The sequence below is a fragment of the Homo sapiens genome, chromosome 15, assembly GCF_000001405.40.
Source record: "Homo sapiens chromosome 15, GRCh38.p14 Primary Assembly".
Lineage (NCBI taxonomy): Eukaryota > Metazoa > Chordata > Mammalia > Primates > Hominidae > Homo > Homo sapiens.
The window spans coordinates 52,394,923-52,418,090 of NC_000015.10; the positions used below are offsets into that span (position 1 = coordinate 52,394,923).

Below are 23,168 nucleotides of genomic sequence, written 5' to 3' on the forward strand. Positions count from 1 at the left end.
GGAAATAGTCATAAGCCTAAAGTTTTAAGATCACTTCTACATTATTTCACTGTGGTAAGAAGCTTAATTTGCTAAATAAAGATGGTTCAAGTTTTTTCAAAGTATATGGAATATTTAATCAAACAGTCTAAAAGGTTTTATAATGACAAGTAGCAATTCCTTGTCCCATCTCTCCCCAACCCCAATCTCGCTCCCTGGAGGCAACCATTTTTAATTCCCTTAGGTATTTCTTCTGATATTTACCTACATATTTCTAAAGAGTATGCTTATCAACTACCTTCTGATTTATCACTATGAAACACCTAGTGATTTCGTTATGACACAAACAAGGCTAAATTCACATACAACACCTCCTTCCCGCTCTTCCACTATTCTCCCTATATTACTATTTTTAGATCCTCTTTTGTTTTTTAACCAAATTTGTAACTTGCAGTGTCTTTAAACATCTGGTTTGTGTGCATCAACTACAAACCATACCACTTGACCTCTCTCTTTACAAGATGAGGATTTATTAAGGGTGTCTTTCCTGCCCTTGAGCTCTATCTTCTAATTCCTATGGGCATCTCATTTTAATATCCTCTTTCATCAACACTAAGAATCACTCCCACTCTTGCACTTAGAACTGTGCCTGGCACATTATGGACCCTTTACATATTCCAACTCATTTAATCCATAAAACCACACACAGAAGGTACTATTATTATCTCCATTTTACAGATGAGGAAGCTAAGGCCCAGGGAGGTCAACTAACTTGCCCAAGGTCTCCTAGATAACTGACACAGGGTAGGATTCCAACTCACACAGTTCACCTCTGGGCTCTGTGTCCTTCACTATTACAATCTGCTGCCCCTGATTTTTAAGCATCTCTGAATCTCCCAAAACCACAATACTCCTCTAAGATATTTAATATTACTACTTCACAAGAGCCACTCAAAATATTCACATTGCCATTGTCCCAGTGAATGTCCCAGACTGCTGAAAAGAGAATATGTAAAATTCTGCTTTTTAGTTCTGACATCTTGCTAATATAGCAAGTAAGCATTAAGATGGTCATGATTCCACATACAATAAACTTCAAAATAACAAACTGAAAGATATCCTTGGGCTTAAAGCTTCATACTCCCAAGCAATTACCTAACACACTGCCTGCTTCTCTCAATCTATTTGTCCCAAATTTTCGTTATTATCAGACTGCAATCCAAGGATAACCTTGAATACCACCTGGCCCATAAAACATTTTTCTAATGTTGTACCATTCATTAATCGTCAGTTCTAAGTTCCATATAATAATTTTAATTCACAACTTCATTCCAGGGATAAGCTTTTAAACAAAGACTAGGAATTCAAGAGAATAATTTATAGCAGAGTATTATTCAAGGAAGAACATTCTTACCATATTGAATTGTTGCTGTAGTTTTTCATTTGCATAATTTATGCAAAACTGTTCAAAACTATTTATCTCAAATGTTTCAAATCTGTAACCACAAAAATAATATGAAAAGGGGAGAAAAGGAACAAAAAGCTTTTTAAAAATATTCAAAATATACACATTAGGAAGAAAGAAGTGGGACATTCCCCAACATTGTAAAACTTTCTTTCCATATCAGTGAAAATAAAGATTTCTAAGTCAGTAACAAGGAATATGTACCCAGCAGATGAGCATCAGCCATGCAGCAGAGAGGTTTTTTTTGTTTTTTTTTTCCAAAGGCCCCAGCATGCAGAGGTGTTCAACACTATGAGTTTTTGAGGGCTCATTCACCCCCAAGTGGGGAACATCAGAATTATAATAAAGCCATTGCTCTTGTCAATATACTGACTCACGGTGTTACACACATATAGGAGGGAAATAGGAACAGAGATCCTACAGGTTCTTTTGAAAAAGAGAACCAGAGAATGAAAAATTAAGTATGAAACAGGCACAAATATGAAGGAAGGATTTTAACAGCTAAAGACAGGTACCCAAATAAGGCAAACTAGCAAATAAAATTAGATTTTTAGAATTTCAGTGATAATTTACCACATGAGCATCTGAAAACCAATTAAGTCTATGCACTAGCTAAGTAAATTAGCTCTAGATGTGAACTATTTTTTTTTGTTTTAGTTAAATTTTAAGCAACACGCAATTGCATCACCATCATCAAGGTATTCTTGAATTGTCATAGGCAAAGTTTCCCTTCTCTTTACCAGTAGGAAACAGAATCAAATGCCCACTTAGAGTTACTAGATAAGTTCTAGAAAGAAATGTTCTCTGGCAGACCAATTAGCCAAATATACTCACCCGTAAATGTCTAGCACACCAATAAAAGAGTGCTGTTTGACAGCAGAATGGAGAGCCTGATTGACATTATCTACAATCCAGTTAAAGAGCTTGGCATAGATGTGCTTGGCCAAAGCATCGCGGGCATTCGTGGCCTGCAGCTTGGAGATGGGCTTGATGTATGTCTCTGTGGCAGTAGCCAGTTTCCGATGGCAGAGCCAGTGACACATCTCCTCATAGTCCACACCCATGAGTTCACAGAAGATGCAGAGAGGTTCATGCTTGGGCTGCCAAAAGATAATGAGTTATTTCCTATGACCAGATAAATCAAGTAAGAATCTCTCGGAAAATGTTAACAAAGAGTTAACAAATAAAATTCAGCAATTTCTTTGTTATAACAAACACCAAGATCACTCAAAGTTGATTAGTGATAATAATCACATTCATCCATTAAACTGGCATCCAGGCAGCATTTTGCAATCTCTTCTGGGGCTCACTTCAAAAATTCCCTCTTCCTTTGACTCTTCATAGTATTTGTTTGTATCTCTCTTAAAGCATCTTCATTCATTCAGTCAAAAAATCAGTCAGCTAGTCAACAATTATTTACTGAGTGCTACTATGCACCAGAAAACAAAAACAAACATGGTCCCTGCCCTCCTAGAACTTATAGTCACTTGGGGAAATGGGTATTAATCAAATGATTGCTCCCTAAAATGAAAAATACCACAAAGACCAAGGACACTATGCTGAGTCCATGTGAGAGGAATATGTTCTATTTTGGAAGGAGGAGACAGTTGCCTTGAGAAAAGGAAGGTGCTAACTGGGTGAAAGGAGGAGAAAAGGATTTTCCAAGCCAAGGAAACAGCTGGCAAAAACATTCTGTGGTGGGAAGGAAATCATCAATAGGAAGGATTGAAGCTGAATGAGGGAGAAAATGTGAGTTGAAATCACAGAAACAGACAGAGGCTATATCCTAGCTGGTCTTTATCCTTGAAGCAATGGTAGGCCACTGAAGGATTGTAAGCAGGTAACTTGATAGTTATTTGTGTGACTTTTTATATTAGAATGACTTCCATGATTTACATATCCCTGTACCCCCTAGAATATCTTCCATGAGACTTGCATGAGTAGATGTTTGATAAATACTTGTCTAATTTAATCCATGTTAGTACATTATATTTTTCAACATCTTCAATCACATGTATCAGTCAAATCTGACATTCCTGGGGCATAGGGAGGGTGAACATTGTCTCTGGTGGATAACTGAGGAAATAGGACCCAAGAGAACAAATAGCTTGTCAAAAATCAGCTGGCAATTGATGTCAGAGTTGGCATTAGAACCTGGGTCTCCTTGACACCTTCATCTCTAGACTCTTCACACTCAAGCACCCCTTCCTTCTTTCATCCCCCTTTCTCCCAAGTAATCACTTTAGATACAAATCAGCACCACTGCCTGCTCAACTCCCTTAAATAAGCAGCCATATATATGTATGTATTTAGAATTCGGCATCATTTAAAAGTGGGTCAGGCTGGGCGTGGTGGCTCACGCCTGTAATCCCAGCACTTCGGGAGGCTAAGGCAGGAGGATCACCTGAGGTTAGGAGTTTGAGACCAGCCTGGCCAACATGGTGAAACCCTGTCTCTACCAAAAATACAAAAATTAGCTGCTTGTAGTGGCAGACACCTGTAATCCCAGCTACTGGGGAGGCTGAGGCAAGAGAATTGCTTGAACCTGGGAGGTGGAGGTTGCAGTGAGCTGAGATAGTGCCACTGCACTCCAGCCTGGGTGACAGAGCGAGACTCCGTCTCAAAAAAAAAAATTTTTTTCTTAAAATTAAAAAAAAAAAAAGGTGGGTCAGCACTCTGTAAACATATTCTACTTGAATGTTGTTACCTTATTGTTCTATTACATCAAGATTGTTAACTGTTTGGTTTAAATTCTCCACAGCTTTACTCATTTTGGACTTCACCTATCAATAATTAAGAGAAGTCAATAATCTCCCACTCTGATAGCAAATTTGTCTCTTCTTGAGGTTTCTGTTGATTTTTGCTATATATCTTTCGAGGCTATGTCATTAAGTATATAGAAGTTTAGCACTATTTCATATTCCTGGTGAATAAAATCTGTTCTCTTCAGAGATGAGATTTCATTCTGTTGCCCAGGCTAGAGTGTGGTGGTACAATCGTACCTCACTGTAGCCTCAAACTCCTGGACTCAAGAGATCCTCCTGCCTCAGTCTCCTAGGATTACAGGCACACACCATGCACAGTGAATAAAATCTTTATCATTGCAAAGTCACTTTATTTCCCTCTAGCACTGCTTTTGGCCTCAAAGTCTATTTTGTTCAATACGTGCACAGTGTTGCCAGTTTTGTCCTAGCTAGCATGTCTTTTCTAAACTTTTTTTTTCAAACTTTCTGTATCTCTATATTTTAGGAATGCTTCTTTTAAAAGTATATACCTGAAACTTTTTTTTCTTTTTTTGACTTGTATTTTAGAATCAGGGGGCACATGTGCAGCTTTGTGCACATGTACACAATAAAGGAATATTGTGTGATGCTGAGATTTGGAGTATGAATGAATCCATCACTTAGGTAGTGTGCATAGCTGCCAATTGGTTGTTTTTTTCAACCATTACCCTCTCTTGTATTCCCCTGTGTCTATTGTTCCCATTTATGACCATGTGCACCCAACGTTTAGCTCCCACTTATAAGTGAGAATATGTTGTATTTGGTTTTCTGTTTTTGCATAACTTAGGATAATGTTTTCCAGCTGCATCCATGTTGCTGCAAAGGGCATGATTTCATTCTTTTTTATGACTGGGTAGTATTCCATGGTTATATCTGAATTTTTTTAACCAGTCTAACAATCTAAATCTTTTAGCTGGAGCACTTGGTCCATTTTTAATTATTTCTATCTTATTTTGTTCTTTTGGTTGTCCTACTTTTCAACATTTGTTTTTCTCCCTCTTTCTTGCTATATTTTGATTTTTTTCAATCCATTTTCCTCTCTACTAGTTTGAAAGGTTTACTTTGTTACTATTTTGTTTTATAATTAACATAATGTAATTAAGTAACACTAACTCCAAACATCCCATTCCAATTTATCCTCTGTTATCCAATACTTTAGTTCTACCTTTTGTGTGAGGGGGCAGGGTAGGGGACTGGAGATTCATTTTATATTTTAAACTTTTTATCTAATTTTAGACTAACAGAAAAGTTGCAAGAATAGTACAAAAAATTCCCTTCACTCAGATTCCCTAAATATTAACATTTTACCACATTCCCTTTGTTGGCCTAACAGTGCTCTCTACAAAAAATAATTAATTTTTATGGTCCAGGATTCAATCCAGGATCATGCATTGAATTTAGTTATCATGTTTCATTAGTCTCCTTTAACATGAACAGTTCTTCATTCTTCTTTGTCTTTTGTGACCTTGACTTTTTGAAGACTCCTTCAGTTTGGGTCTCTATGATGTTACCTCATGATTAGATTTGGGCAGAAATACCAGAGAAGTGGTGTTGCACTCTGCTCAGTGTGTCATATCCAAAGCTATGTGATATTGATTGGTCTAAATATTGGTACTATCAATTGTGATCACTTGGTTAAGGGAATGTCTGCCAGGTTTCTTGACTGTAATGATAACTATCTTTCCCTTTGTAATTAATACATGTCTTGTGGGAATTCTATCTTTTACCAGATCAATATACTATTATTATTCTAATTAATCAAATTTTATCTACATTTGCCCACATTTTGCTAACTTCTTAGTTCATTTCTTCTTGCATCTTAGATCTTCTAACTGGGATCACTTTCCTTCTGCCTAAACTATATCCTTTAATATTTAATATTTCCTTTAGTGAGGGCTCACTGGCAACAGCAGATTCTCATAAGCTTTTTTTTTTTTTTTTGAGACAGTCTTGCTCTATCCTCCAGGCTGGAGTGCAGTGGCGCGATCTTGGCTCACTGTAACCTCCACCACCCAGGTTCAAGCACTTCTCATGCCTCAGCCTCCCATGTAGCTGGGATTATAGGCATACGCATGATGTCCAGCTAATTTTTGTATCTTTAGTAGAGAGAGGGTTTTGCCATGTTGGCCAGGCTAGTCTCAAACTCTTAGCCTCAGGTGATCCACCCGCCTCAGCCTCCCAAAGTGCTGGGACTACAGGTGTGAGCTACCACGCCTGGCCTCTCATAAGTTTTTAATTGTCTGAAAATGCTTCCAATTTCAATTCATTCTAGAAAGATATTTTAACGGGATATATAATTCTAACTTAATAGTTTCCACTCTAAGCACACTGAAGATATTATTCCACTGTGTTCTGGCTTTTATAGCTGCAGCTGGGAAGTGAGCTATCAGATTAATTGCTATTTCTTCAAGGGCAGTCTCTTAATCTCTCTGTTTTAAGTTTCCTCTGTCTTTGATATCATTATGATGTTCTTAGGAATAGATTTCTTTTTATTTATCCTAACTGGGATTTTCTGGACTTTCTGAATATGTGGGTTAGTCATTTTCACAAGTTCTAAAAATTTTTTAGTAATGATCTCTTGGTATATTATGTCTGCTTCATTCTCTCTCTTCTCTCCTTTATGAATTTTCATTAGATTAAAATTAGACATTATTACTCTATCCTTCTTCTCTCTTAACTACTGTTTCAAGTGCTCTGTCTTTGGGTCCTATCTTGCATTTTGGACAATTTCTTCACATCTACCTTCTAGCTTATCAGTTTTCTCTTCAGTTGTACCAAATCTGCTGTTTATTAATTTTGGCATTCTTAGCAGGTATGACTCTGCTATCTGTCGTTTCTCCTAGCTCCTTCTATTTTGTTTCATTGGGGGACTTGTGATTTTTGACTGTGAGTCAATATTTCTTGTAACTTTTCTGATGGGACTCCACTGAGGCCTAGACTGAAGGTGGGTCCTCCAAAGTAGATTTGCAGTTGCTTCTGTCAGGCGCCTAGGCCACTACCAGCCCAGGATCAATTTAAGCTATATTTTCTGTATGTAGTTTTTTGAGACCTTCCAGGAACTATGAAATCAGTCTGGGAATGAATATGTGTGAGAGTCAGTTTGTTGTTATAAATTTTTAGGGAGCTAGTTTTCTGCCTCTACTTGGCACCAAAGTGTGGGTCAGGTTAAGTTTTCTTTATACTCTTGGAGTGGGTGGTGGGCAAATTGATTACTAGCTCCCCACTTAGGGTCTCAGCTTTAGGCAGGAGTCTTTGTGTTCCCCTGTTTATATGGGTCCTGTGTCTTTGCCTTCTGTAGCTCACTTGGCTATGAAACCCAAAGCTCAAGGTCACTGGGTTCAGCAAATGCCTTCAAGGTGGGGCAGAACTATCAAATAGAGATGTCTTACCAGTAACTTTTAAAGCTCATTTAAGGCCAGGCGCAGTGGCTCATGCCTGTAATCCCAGCACTTTAGGAGGCCAAGGCAGGCAGATCACCTGAGGTCAGGAGTTCGAGATCAGCCTGGCCAACATGGTGAAACCCTGTCTCTACTAAAAATACAAAAATTAGCCAGACACAGTGGCACACACCTGTAATCCCAGCTACTCGGGAGGCTGAGGCTGGAGAATAGCTTGAACCCAGGAGGTGGAGGTTGCAGTGAGCCAAGATCGCATCACTGCACTCCAGACCAGGCGACAGAGCAAGACTCCGTCTCAAAAAGAAAAAAACAAAAAAACAAAAAACAAAACAAAACAAAACAAAAACTAACTTAATCTCCACCTACCCCAAATAGTGAAATTGTAGTACTTATAGCTATCATCAAATCAACAAAGTTGACAAGCACCGGTTAGAAAATAAAAATCATAGAATTACAAGAACTGGATGGAAGGAACTTCTGGACATTATAAGTACTATTTCTCCAAGATGATATTAATAACTTCCAGACATCTCAAATAGGAAAACAGTACACTCAAATTTTAGGTAAGACTCATAATGAAGTGATATATGTGACATAACATTAGTCATGACTTTCTTGATTAGGAGAAGCTTGACATTTGGGGAAAGGTCACAAGGGCAAAGAGGAAAGATGGTGATGCAGAAATCAGAGTTCTTTTTAAAAAATCCAGTTTGTATACCAACATTCAGAGTAGTGTTATTCATAACAGCCAAAAGGTGAAACAACTCAAATATCCAACAATCAACCAGTGGATAAACAAAATATGGTATCTCCATATAATGGACTATTATTCAGCCGTAAAAAAGAATAAAGTATTGACACGTGCTACAACATGGATGGATTTTGAAAGAAGCCAGTCACGAAAAACCACATATTATATGATTCCATTTATATGAAATGTCCAGAACAGGCAAATCTATAGAGGCAGAAAACAGATTTATGGTTGCTTAGGGGTAGGGAAATAGACACATAGGTAACAATAAGTAAAGGGTACTGGGTTTCTTTTTGAGGTCACAGAAATATTTTAAACTGACTGTGGTGATGGTTGCACATATCTGTGAATGTACTAAAAGCCACTTAATGGTACACTTTAAATGAGTATGATATACGAATTATATCTCAACAAAGCTCTTTTTTAAAAGACTAGCAATGTTTCATTAGAAGAAATGAGGGTTTAAATTAGAATCATCATTTTGCCTTTTACAAAACCACCATTAGGAAAAGAGGCTGGGGGAGGGGAGGAGGAATCATGCATCTAAAATTAGGACCCATGGCTTAGGAAAATTACACCTCAAATATTCATAAAGAAAATCGTAAGGATCAAGCTTTCTGTAAACCAAACTGTCTGCCCATCTAGCTCTTGGCCCTTGGACTAATAAATAAGTTACAGGGCTGGATGTGGTGGCTCACACCTCACACCTATAATCCCAGCACTTTGGGAGGCCAAGGTGGGCGGATCATCTGAGGTCACGAGTTCAAGAGCAGCCTGGCCAACATGGCAAAACCCCATCTCTACTAAAAATAAAAAATTAGCTGGGCATGGTGGTGTACACCTGTGGTCCCAGCTACTCAGGAGGCTGAGGCAGAAGAATCGCCTGAACCCAGGAGGCGGAGGTTGCAGTGAGCCGAGATTGCATGCCTTTGCACTCCAGCCTGGGCGACAAGAGTGAAACTCCGTCTCAAAAAAAAAAAAAAAAAAAAAAAGTTATGGAACAAGTCTTCTCTTTAAATCATAAAGTCATTTATTTTATATTATATCATGTCTCACACATCTAATATAGTATCAAAGTACTATATCCAGAAAACACAAGAAATAGATTCTTTTCTTACAGGAGTAGAGAATCTGTTTTTACACAAGAGGCTATAGATCCAGAGAAAAAAGGCAACTAAGTGAGTTGAATAAACACCATTTAAATTAAGGCCTTAATTAAGAATACCACAATGAATAGCATGGCTCTATCCACAAGGACTTCAAATCCTAGTGGGTAAAGGCAAGCAGGAGAGACCTTTATAGAACAATGTGATTTGAGCTACAATAAAGGAAAGCAGAAGGGTGAGTGTGTATCTAAGAAGAGATGCTAGAGATCTGCCTGTGAGACGTGAGTAAGAGCTGGCTAGGGAAGAAGAGCAATGTATGTACCCCAGCAGGGAGAATCTGAGCAAAGCCAGGAGAGAGAAACAGCCTGGCATGGAAATGGCTGGATGTAGAGTGTGAGAAACAATGAGAAAGAAGCTCAATAGGAAGTCAGGGGTCAGTCATGAAGGCCCTTTCATGTCATATCATGCCAAGTAAGGTGTTGGGTCTGCTTCTGAAGGCAGTGGGGAGTCCTGAAACATTTCAGTAAGGGCATGATATGATCCCTAATAGCTTTAACTTCCATGAGTTTCTGATCTTGTGGGGCCACATCTGCGTTATAGTCACTAATCTCATCTATCCAACCCTCTCTCTTTCTCTCTCTCTCTGTCACACACACACACACACACACACACACACACACACACAATCACTATGCACCAGAGATTAGAATCCATATTTCTTTATTCTCAGTTTGAGATTCTCCTTTGGATAACATATGTCTTTGATAATTATGTTTCTGATAATATTGATAGAGAGACTTAAACTATATTGCTTCTTTAAACAATCTACAAATCTAAAACATAATTCAACTGCCATCCCACTAAAGCTTATTCTGAACTTACAGGTATTGTGCAGCTGTCTGCATCTCGGGATGTAAATCCAACATTGCCTAAGTGAAGGATGCCAGCAAGTATTCGGAAAATTCCCATTTGATGAGATTCACTAATTCCTGAAACAAGAGAGTGAATGAACAAGTGATTAATTTCAGAATAGAAACTAAACAATTACAGCAGACAATTTTAAGCCTATTGTTAATTCCTGAATATTGCCAGATGTTGTGCATATTATAATGTGTCATAGCTAACAACACTTTCATCTTTGTTGACATTAACACATTAGGCAGTTTAGCATCATGGATGGATAACATGGCTGCTGACTGTGGCTGATCTGGCTTGAGACCTGGCTCTGCTATGGACCTATCATCTCAAATGGACAGGTAGCTTCAGTATTCTATGCTTCCATTTTCTCATTTGAGATATGAAAATAATAGTGACTACTTCAAAGTATGTGAAGATTAAATGAGATTAAATGCACATAGCATACTTAATACACGACATGACACACAGTAAGTGCTAAACAAATTGTTGTCATCATTGTCACACACTGGGTTTAAAATTAATAGTATTACCATTTCTATTTATCTCTGCTCCAGATACAGCCCAATAAAGCTGTTACTTCTTAAGGCTGTTTAAAAAGTAATTATTTAATTACTTCTTTAAACTACAGACCAAGTATAAGTCAAAGAGACGCCAAGATTAGAAGCGTTTAGGCTGGTGCTATATCCCAGCCTGATGAGTATGCGTCCAAATACAGCATCAGAGCAGAACTTGAAGGATAAGGCAGGATGAGAAAGCTGGACAGCTTTCAGCTTTTATCAGATCTGGCTTCATTTTTAAATAACATAAGAATCTCCAGAAAATTAGCTATAATTACATGCAAATAGAAGCAGTGAAATTATTTCCAAATATGTAATCTTAGAAAGGGTAATTCAGTAATGACCCTATAATTAATGTTTTTTACCATCTCCTGCATTATGGCTTTTTCTTTTTTGTTTTTTTGACACACAGTCTCACTCTGTCACCCAGGCTGGAGTGCAGTGGTGTGATCTCAGCTCACTGCAAACTTTGTATGGCTTTTTCAAATTCACAAATTTACTATTTACAAACAGATTTAGCACGAGAAGAAATGCAGTGATTTTCAAACTTTTAATATGCATATGAATCACCAATAGATTTTGATAAAATGCAGATTATGTTTCAGTAGGTCTGAGAAGGGATTTGAGATTCTGCATTTCTAGCAAGGCCCACAATGGTCCTGGTCCACACTGTAATTAGCAGTGCTTTTAAATTAAGTTAACTCACCTGAGGGTACTACTCAAAATGCCATCATATGATTTTAGAGTTATCTATATTCTGAGGTTTTTTTTTTCTTTAAGTTGTAGATGACAAGTTCTAAAGATTAATTTATTCACATGAAGGCCCAACATTTTTTAAATCCCAGAAACAAGATAGTGACATCTGAGCTGCTTCAGAAATGTTGGAACAGAAAAAAAATGCTGGAATAAACTACATGTAATGGAATATTCTGTCATGATGCCAACTCAGCCACATTTCCCAGCCACAGAAAGATCCCCAAAACCAAACAAATAAACCAATAGCTCCTACAAAATGCGAGCTTGTAGAGGAGCCCGTTTCACTTAGCTTCAGGTTTCAGATTTTGTAAAAATTTAAGCAAAGAATTACAAGTAGCCCTCCCCTGATGCCCCAAATATATATTTTGAACAGTTTTATTGAAGGCTAATTTGCATACCATAAAATTCACCCATTCAATGATTTTTAGTAAATTTACAAAGTTGCACAACCATTACCACAATCTAATTCTAGAACAGTTCCATCATCCCAAAAAGAAATCTCCTGCCCATTTGCTGTCTAAATGTGTTCTATGTGGAATATTAAATCTTCTAGCAATACTTGCCACTTAATAAAAAGTCAAGCCAATATTCTAAACAAAGGTTGCTTGAGTAAAAAAGCTATTCCTCTTAAGAGCTCAAGAATAAAGTGACATTACCTAGCAAAGTGCAGGCCTGCCTAGTATGTGCCATCTCCTTTGCATCATCCACTCCTTCAATCACAGGACTGCCTCCTTGTTTTGTGTAATTAAAGTTATCTGCATTTCCTGTAATGAAGAAAAATAAAAATTTTCTGGTTTATGAAAAAGCCTTGCCTTCTAACCTTATGTCCACTCTGAATCAGAGGTGGTGATAGCACAGTTGAGTGTACAGCATCTAGAGTTTGACTGCCTGTGTTTTCAATTGTATTTTAATAAAAAATTAAAAATTAAATAAAATTTAATTAAATAAATGGGGTAAAATATTTATAGTTTATTTATGTTAATTGGTAAAATAAATAGTCCTTTCCTAAAGGTTTTATTCCAATCTACACACTAGAATAATTTCCTCAAATCCTTTACTCCCCTCATAAGAAACCCTACTGGCTTCTAACAAATCAACTCCTTTAATTTTTTTTTTCCTTTAATCAAAGCAAATATCAAACACATACAAAAGTAGAGAGACTAATAGAATGAGCCCCTAGGTACTCATTACTCATCTTAAACAGCCATCTAAAATCACCTCCAGGCCAATCCTGTTCCATTTATACAGCCACTTACTCCTCCTCTACCCCTATGGGTTATTTTGAAGCCAAGGGCTGACTTTTTATCATATTATCCATAAGTATTCCAACATGAGATAAGCTCCTTTTTAACAAGTAAATTTAGGAACTTGGAAATTAACAGAAAACAATACCAGAACAATAAATTTAATGCCATATTCATACCTAATCGTAGCATTTTAAATTCAGGTAACTTTGCTGAGGCACAAAGCTGATAGAAGATATGATAGTTTCTCTCCTCTTCTGCCTTCGAAATAAGAAGAGTTTTCAATTACAGCATTTTAATCTAAAATTCAGGGAATTCTATCATAAAATAAGATTTTAATATTTAATTATCTCAGTTGGTTAAATAAATTATACTTTCCTATATTTCCTAATACTTATTTCTGATTATTAAATCTTATGATTTATAGTCTATATGCATATGTATGAGTATGTGTGTGTTGCTCAAATTCAACATAAAGTATCGGATAGTAATGCTTTCTGAACTAGTGAACAGCTTGATATATGTCAACAATCATAAGATAATCAGTGCTTTTGGGGGAAACTAAAATCATTTTTTTTTTGCAATACTCAATACTATTTTCTAATGGTACCTCTTAGATTCACAGTCTTCCAAATGCTTTGAAAAAAGAATAATCCCATTCTTGCCATATTGTAGACTGGACCATCTACTGTGGTTATTTGTAGGAAAGTCACAAATGTACATCTTCTATATCATTTTAGTTTATACATTTTAAATCAATAACTGTTTTATAAAATAGAAAATAAATCACATATAAATTCTAAGATAATTTTTCAGTATTTCCTGAGAGTCTTTTCCACACATATATCTAAAAAATACAGTTGCAATAATATTGTTCATACACCTAATAGTTTATCACTATATCCTTCATTTTTACAGTATACTCAGTTGGCTAATGAATCGTATTAATAAGGCCAAGGTCAGGTTTGATGCCCACAGGGGGCTGATGTCTGGAAAAGAAAACCTATTATAGGGACAGAAGCCACTGAACAAATTACCAGTATACCAATGACCACAAGCATGATTAAACAGGAGACCAGGTGGTTCAGCACACAGAAACTAGAAAAGCCTGTGAGTCTGCAGAAATGCTTAGGTCCTCTTTGTACATAAAGGACAATACAAGTATGCCTTTTCTGATTGTGTGACTCATTTTGACAAGCCAAACATCCTTGACATTCTATATCACTGGAGACTGGGAAACTGCTAGAAATGGTTCAGTGTCTCTAAACAAGACAATAAGGATTGGGCTTTACCATTTTGTATTAAGCACTACTAGCCTTTGGTCACGTACTGACCAAGGACCATCTTTCCCCCCTGCTTACTCACTTACCTATCAATCAAACCTCTACTATTTGAACTCTAATATTTGAATCTTCCCTTAGATCTACCTCTGTTTCACCCATTCTTTCTTCTGGTTATCAAAGTAGACACTTTTCAAAAAAAACCTATAGAAATAGCCATCAGCATAGTAACACTGTTCTGTATGTACCTAGATATTAAATATAATACTTCATTTGTATTGCCTTACTATGCAAATCAAGTACTATATTTTAGGTGGCCACAAATCAGGCACAGCCCCAAAGTCAAAGCCAGAGCAACTTCAGACTGCTCAAATTCTCAGACACTTTCAAACCTATGACAGACCTGGGCTATGGAAATTGTGGACACTGTTACATGGCAGTGTCAAGGGTATTTGAACCTCAATGCAGTGGGCATGCAGTTGAGGCTAATGAAACCCAAATCTCACAGCATGAGGCAAGCAGTAGGTCTACAGAACTGACAGTGTGTGATAAACCCATACCTATAAATATATAAATGTATGCCTGCTAGTGATGGAAATATATAGTATCTCCCATATCTCCCACTTACCAATCAAAAGGGACCAAGAGCATATATGTGGATGTAAACCCTACCCAGATGCATCAACTGTTTTTTTGATAGTAGTTCACAATTGGGTTGTGAAGATTTTTTTTTAACCCTCACTATTCTATCTAAACAATAATATATTCTGAAAGAGGAGAAGAAGGAAGGAAAGAGGACAAGATAATTTTTTTTCTTGCACTGAGTTCAAACTAACTTATTGAGAGCATGGAACAATGCCTTCCCTATCATTTGGAAATATGAGAGACAAGACTAAACCAATAGCACCTGTTCTCAACTAAGCTTTCCCGCAAGCACCTGTAGGAAAAAGTCAAACCTAAAAGTGACCAGTCCCAAAAACTATTAGCATTTAAGTGGTACTCCCTTGCCTCTAACAGGCACCATTTTACAGGCTTCAGTCCAAGTGTGGTTGGAGGTAATATTGTCATAATATGCTCAAGAGTATCTTGAAATAAAATGCATACCAGCAAGCATGGACTCAACAATTATACAGCAATCTAACACAAGTGCATATGTGTATATGGCCAGCTTACCTGGAATACCACTCTGGATTTCTCTAAAAGATAAGTTCTCATATTGGCACCAATGATTCGATATCTCTTATCAAAACCAATCTCAATATACTTCCCAAAACGGCTGCTATTATCATTCCTGGTTGTTTTAGCATTTCCAATGGACTAAAAAGCAAGGGAGAAAATAAGATTTTAGAAGTGTAATTCATAACATGACATTTACAGAATCTGCTCAGAGAGAGAAAAGATGGAGTAGAACACAGGTCCTTAAAATTGATTTTTTTTTTTTTTTTTGAGACAGAGTCTTGCTCTGTCACTAGGCTGGAGTGCAGTGGCACAATCTCGGCTCCCTGCAACCTCCGCCTCCCAGGTTCAAGTGATTCTCCTGCCTCAGCCTCTGGGATTACAGGCACATGCCACCACGCCCAGCTAATTTTTGTATTTTTAGCAGAGACGGGGTTTCACCATGTTGGCCAGGCTAGTCTCGAGCTCCTGACCTTGTGATCCACCCACCTCTGCCTCCCAAAGTGCTGGGATTACAGGCGTGAGCCACCACACCTGGCCAAAACTGATTCTTTTAAGAACAGAACCACTTTTGCCACTGCAGGCACAGGTGTATGCTTTGCTCACTGCACAGTCACACAGATATATACTAATTGTTTTTATTTGTCTTGTTATTCTCACAAAAATGATTTTCAGAAACAGCAGACCTGAACTCAGAGGTTAGAATATTTTCATAAAACCTTTTGGGTTATCTGAACATTCATGCCAGCAAAGAAAGAGAACAAACGAGGATGGGAGCTGCCAAGGCATAGGCTTTGTTAGGTAAGCTTCAGGTTTTTATTTTTTTCCAAAAAACTTCACCTGCTTTACATAAATAAGATGGTTAAGACCAATGAATATTTCCTGGAAATGCTGCTCTGGTGTTCAGGGTCTCTTTAGCCTGATGTTTCTATCACCTTATCCTGTGGCAACAAAGGTCCAGTTAGACTATTTATTAGTAGAGTATTAGTATTACCCACTCAATTTAAAGGCCATTTTCAGAACCAGAAAAAGTAAAATTTGGCTTTGGATTTTGATAGTTAAATCTAGCTTACAAAATATCTGCTACAGAATACAGAGAATATAACTTGCTGCTAAATGTTTTATATAACCTTAAAAATTTTAATGACATATGTCTTTCTGATTTAGGTAACTCGCTTCTATAAATTTTTTTAAGGCAAAGCAAAAAAAAAAAAGATGTAGTTAGAAAACCAAGTGTTTACATAATGCATATATTAAATGTTTAATAAGCAAATTTCAAAAAAATTAATATCTTTCACTTGTGTAAAGCCTATGTCAGGATTAGTAAATTGAAACCACAGCAGACAGAAAGATGTGAAAATACAATGTAGTTTTAAGAGTGATACAAATGTAAGTAATGAAAACAATAGTAACACAGCCATACAAGTCAACACATTAGATTCTTTGATCAATCAAAGAAAATATATTTTCACTTTCTGAAATAGAGTGTAGACATCCTATTTTGTTTTGGCAGTGAGGACACTGCTATATTTTAGATTAACATTTTAAATGCTTTTCTAGAAAAATAAGAATATCTTCCTGGCAAAATTACAGAAGGATCTAATGTAGCCTCAGATAATTTATCTATTCATTTACTCAGATGTTACCCCTCTTGATATTACAAAACACCACAGCAAAAAGTCTGTATATGGTCTCACTATTTTATTTAGAAAAGCAGATTAATTATAAATGCAGACTTTTCTCTCAACACAATATATTCTTCCGAAGAGCAAATGAAAGATTACATGTAGTAGAAGTAGCAGCAGCTACTCAATAAACACTCAATAAATATTAGTAACTGTCCTAAGCACTTTCCTGCCAGTAACTAAGCAAGTGGAGGAAGGGTGGGCCACAGCTTCTCCTCCTTCCTCAACTCTTACCCCACCTTCCACATATCATCTCTCCCCACCTACTCAGACTGGGCGTCAGAGTGGCCCACCTGCCGAAACACCACCACACTGTGAGAAGAGGCAGGGATTGGCTAGAATTGAAGCAGATCCTTTTGTTTTCAAATAAAATGTATTTAAACATAGACAAACAATGGTAAAAAGAACAAATGAATTAGAAGCCCGAAGACCTATCAGACCAGGCCCTATTATCAACTTGTCATTATTTAATCTCTTTGAGGAGCATTAGTATCCTCAAATGTAAATTGACTAGGATAGTGGAGCTCTAGGGTTCTTTTTAAAAAATAAAATTATTTGATTCTAAGTTCTGAAACTGATAGGGAAAGAAATTTCTATACATAAACAGTATCTTTTGTCCACTCCCTCAATTGTTGCCTCTGCCATATAAGCACTGTATTCACAAGAGACTCCCTAATACTATATTCACTTTAATCAGCAAGAAGCCACTAAAGGAAAAAATAAATTTTGTGATCTTGGTAATCTTGGTTTTACTGTTTTAATGTAATGATGCATGAGTCACTCTTCTTTACTAAATGGAGATGAAAATCTTCAATTATGGTTATTGAAATTAAAAAAGAACAACTGGCTGGGTGCGGTGGCTCATGCCTGTAATCCCAGCACTTTGGGAGGCCAAGGCGGGTGGATCACCTGAGGTCAAGAGTTCAAGACCAGCCTGACCAACACGGTGAAACCCTATCTCTATTTAAAATACGACAGTAGCTGAGCGTGGTGGCATGTGCCTGTAATCCCAGCTACTCGGGAGGCTGAGGCAGGAGAATCGTTTGAATCCAGGAGGTGGAGGCTGCAGTGAGCTGAGATCATGCCATTGCACTGCAGCCTGGACAACAAGAGCGAAACTCTGTCTCAAAAAAAAAAAAAAAAAAAAAAATTAACATCCAGGCCTGGTAGAGTGGCTCACACCCATAATCCCAGCACTTTGGGAAGCTGAGGCAGGAGGATTGTTTGAGCCCAGTAGTTCATTTGAGATCAGCCTGGGACAGGCCGAGACAGAGCAAGACCCTGTCTCTTAAAAAAAAAAAAGTTTCAGTGTGCTATTCCCATCTTATGATGAAAATTTCCAGGAAAAAATGAAAACATGAAATGAAGCAAATAGAATAATTATCTGTACATCATTCACATTTTGCAAAAGAAGCCTATGTTGAGAATGAGGAGCTTCCTTTTTAAAGAATAATGTGCATATCTCTTTAGACCCTGGATTGTAATGTTAACCATGTAGGATGCTCATTATCCTATGAGGAGTTTCAGCAGATCACTGGAGACGCCGATATGCCTTTCCTGACATCTCAGCAAAGGGCTCTGATATAGGGACATAGTATTGAAGCGATTTAAAGCTACAAATTTTTCAGACTACATACTCAATATTTTACCTATGTTTTCTTCCAGTAACTGATCTTCAGCTCCATATCACATTTCCAACTTTCAAATTGAGATGCCCTTTTTTGTAGTTATTGAAAATTAGTTCAACTCTTTACCAAATTTTTCTTAATCCAAATTCTTATAGATGAACAATTTCAAATTATTTAGACAGACTAAATAATAGAGAAGGAAGCAGGTGAGCATAGCTGATCCCTTTATCTTTTATGTTCATCCCAGCAAGCAGGGCATATTCTTTATAATTGCATACTGTAAGTATTATCTTTGACTGCTGTGGTTTGGATATAACGTGTCCCCACCAAAATTCATGTTGAAATTTGATCCCCAATGTGAAGGTGCTGGGAGGTGGGGTCTAGTAGGAGGTGTTTTGGTCATGGGGACAAATCTATAGTGAAAGCCTTGGTAAAGTTCTCCTGTAGTGAGTTCTCCCTCTGTGAGACTGGATTAGTTCTCTCGGGACTGGATTCATTTCCACTGGAGTGGGTTGTTATGAAGTCGGGAGGCCCTCAGGTTTCCCGTTTGTGTGTGTCCACTTGCCCTGTGACATTCTCTGCCATGTTATGCAGCACGCCGGCCCTCACCAGAAGCCTAGCAGATGCCAGAGCCATGCTTACTGTACAGCCCACAGAACCATGAGCTAAATAAATCTCTTTCTTTATAAATTACCCAGCCTCAGGTATTCTGAGGCTATAGTTATAGCAACACTAAATGGACTAAGACAGTAGCTATTCCAAATTTTTAATATATTCCTACTAATACAATTCAAATCTGTGTTGCAGAAAAACCAATAAAGCTGGTTTTTTTTGAAAGAGGTCATAAAATAGTACACTCAACTCATGAAAAATTCTAGAAGGTTCATTCTAGACTTAAGTTATCTTCACAGACAACTTCAAATCCTAGTATTATATGGTCCAGGCCCGGAAGAAATGGGATTACCTAATGCCATCACATTCAAGACTTTGGGATATTCTAATGCTAGGGACTAAAATGGCTGGAACTGTTGTCAAATACCAAGAATTTGTCATGACCAAAACCAGTCAAAACAACAACAGCAAGAAAAGAAGCCCTGTTGTTTTCTGACCCCAAACCAAAAACTGGCTCCACAGATTCTATTTCCCCAGTATTAACACTAGTGACATCCAGCAGTGTATCTGTAGCTTACATTCTTTCAAAATCTTAACATTTGCTTAAAATTTTCACTACTCTCTTTCGGTGCAAACATCTGTTTCTTCCTGTTCATCCTATTTCAGAAAGTATTCCCAGTATTTTTTTCCATAGCACATCCAGCCCATGAAGCCTCTGAACTTCCCCATCATATCTTGTTTTTCAATCCCAAAAAGTAGAAGTCCTGCTGCTCTAGAGAGCAGCCCTACAGATAAGAGGTCACGGCATTCTGTTCTGAAGTGTCACACGCAGCACCGCAAACCAAGCACAATTACCTCTACATAGATTATCGCAAAAACCACTTGTACCACAGGTGCACCAGGCCGATTTTAACTCCATCTGTGTTTGGGTGACAAATAAAGCTTGACAAAGGAAAAAGACAGGAATAAAAAAATGCCGATTTGAATTTTTAACAAGGAAGGTTTGCTTCTGCATGTCCAAATTAATTTCTCTCCATTTAACAAAAGTAATTTTTCTCCATTTAATAAGTCTTCATATAAAACTATAACTTTCCAAAAATCTTATTAATAGACAGATAATTATCTACAAATCCTAAAACACTCAAATTCTCACACAATTAGTTCCATTTTCATTGGCACAGGCATTTCTACTTTGTATATGGTGTATTCAAGTTTTGAAAGCACATTTTTTCATAGTTCTTCCCCTGTCAAAACCTTACAGTTACTGTCTTTTATGAACCTATAGCTGTGTTATGTGCTTGACAGAACAACAACAACAACAAAAAGCTTATAAAGATCATAGTTTAAGTTTGTAGTTCAAATCTGGAAAAAAATTAAAACTTTAGCTATATTAAAATTTAAGCCAACTGAGGTCGGACTAAGTACAGAAAATGAAATATGGGCAAAGGAATAAGGAAACTCATTCATACTTGAGCATAACAAATCTTATGTTTTAGAAGGAGCATAAATAAGAACTCAGGACTTGGGGGAAATGAGTAACTTGTACTTCTGGTACAAGGAAAGGAACAATAGACATGAGTCAGTTAATGAGGAGAAGGAAACTTAATTGCTGCCTGGTATTTAGGGGCAACAATTTTGCTGGTAGGTCAAAAATTCAGGATTATAGACTAAAACAGATTCCGCTATAGCTGGGCTTTACTAAAAATGTCTACCTTACCAAGTTTTTACTTTCCCTAGATTTTTTATAAACATGTAGAAAAGCATTTTCTTAATTTTAGTGGCTGGAGACCCCAGGCTTTCTGAGACATGCTGTATCAATCAATTTTTTGAGCATGTTTCTTATCAAGAGAATATAGGAAGAAAGCCGAAGACTCGCTGTCTTACCTCCATGATGGGGTTGGAGGCCAAGACCTTTTCCTCCACATTGGCCTCACTGGCAGAACCACTCACAGTTGCAAAGTATCGCATGGCATACTTAGCTGAGACTGTTTTTCCTGCCCCAGACTCTCCACTTACGATGATGGACTGATTTCGTTCATCTCTGTAAAATAAAAATTTTTTAAAAAGTAACTGCCATTGCTGCCTATAGCAGGATTGATAAGGGAAACTATGGTCTCTATGGAAGTAGGGGGCTAATTAATGGATTTTTTGGTCGATACTGGTGCTTATAACACCAAGGTCTCAGGTTCAATCCCTATACTGGCCACCAGAAATGTTGCAGGATATATATATATTTTTTTTAAGGAATCAGAGAGACCGATGGGGTTGAGGAGGATATTTATTATTTAGGTGCACCAGCCCAGTCAGATTAACATCCAAAGGACCAAGCCCTGAACAAAGCGTTAAGTTACCTTTTAAACATTTCATGGGGTGTGGGGGAGATCTGTGCAGGGGGAAGCATATTACAGAAGTAAGAAACAAAGACAGTTATTCAATTAATTGAGACATGCATTACATCATTTCTTTTCAAGAAAAAACATGTTTTATGACTTGGGTTTATCTGTCTAGTGACTTTGCAGCTGCACAGCTAGAGAAACAGGGTCTTCACAATGCCTGGGAAAGGAGGAGAGATAAGGCTCACTAGCCAAAGAAAAACAGGCAGTTAATTTTTAAAGGACTCCAGCTCTTTCTCTTTCTCAGGGGGAAATGGATTTTCTTACATACAACTGAGTTTCTGCTTACACATTCTTTAATTTCTTTTAATTCCTGTTCCACTGCCCACTTGGCAATGTGATTAACATTATTTCTTCTGTGTTCTTCGTGATAAGGCACAGTGAGTTTTTGCTGGTTCATACATGCAACAGTGTGGAAAGGAACATAAGAATGATATTTCCTAAAAATAATATCTACTTATAAATTAAAAAATAACACAGAGGAAGAAGATATCAAGCATTAAATTAGAGAGCATCACAACTAAGGATGAATCTGCAATAGAGGGCCTCTGAATTCTTATGTGTACAAATCTCAAACATATTATTTTATTCCTAAAGAATTACTTCAATATCTTACAGTACTGTTGTCAACCACTTCAGGAGATACTCTTTGAAGCCACAGCAAAGAAATTTAAATTTACAAAGAAATTTAATTTGTTTAAAGTTACAAAACCATTTAAAATATTTTAAATTACCAGCTAACAATCCTCAAAATGGCATCTCCCACAAACTCTAGCTCCTATTAAAGTATCCTCATCACTAGAGAAGAAATAGTCCATTTGCTGGCTTGGCTTCATTCAACTAAAAGTTAAATAAGTCATGATCTGTATCCTCATGTGGTTGACGGATGTTGTGGTTTGAATGTTCTCTCCAAAATTCATGTTGAAATTTAATTGCCAACATGATGATATTGGGAGGTGGGGCCTTTAAGAGCTGATTAGGTCATGAGGCCCCTCCCCTCAGGAATGGATTAATGGCATGAATGCAGGAGTGAGCTAGTCATCACGGGAGTGGGCTCCTGATAAAAGGATGAGTTTAAGCTGATTTCCTCTCTGCCTCACATGCTCATGTGCCCTCCTACTACTGAATGACCTTTGCCAGATGCCAGCGCTGTGCTCTTGGACTTTTCAGCCTCCAGAACAGTGAGTCAAATAAACTTCTGCTCTTTATAAATCACCCAGTCTGTGGTATTCTGTTATAGCAGCAGAAACTGGACTAAGACAGTCATCTAATAGGAAAGACAGGCCAATAATTCAAGACTGTAATACATGTGATGGGGCCGTAAGAGGAAGAAGAGGTTATCAGGGAAGATTCCCTAGAGATGACAGCTGAACAAGGTCTACAAAAATGAGTAAGAGAAAGCAAGCAAGGACTACAGAAGTCAGGAAGGGTACATTC

The 23,168-nt window shown here is 37.4% G+C and overlaps 1 protein-coding gene across 12 annotated transcripts in view; it reads right to left on the reverse strand.

The window, feature by feature from the left end:
• MYO5A (myosin VA) overlaps positions 1-23,168 on the reverse strand; it is a 221,768-nt gene that overhangs the window by 87,640 nt on the left and 110,960 nt on the right. For 11 of the 12 annotated variants that reach the window (XM_047432544.1, XM_047432543.1, XM_047432540.1 and 8 more), the window contains 7 exon segments: positions 21,223-21,379; positions 15,411-15,554; positions 13,137-13,218; positions 12,370-12,477; positions 10,365-10,471; positions 2,279-2,544; positions 1,394-1,475 (listed from right to left, as the gene is read on the reverse strand). In XM_047432544.1, the coding sequence (XP_047288500.1) occupies positions 1,394-1,475; positions 2,279-2,544; positions 10,365-10,471; positions 12,370-12,477; positions 13,137-13,218; positions 15,411-15,554; positions 21,223-21,379 (946 nt within the window). 12 annotated transcript variants of the gene reach the window in all.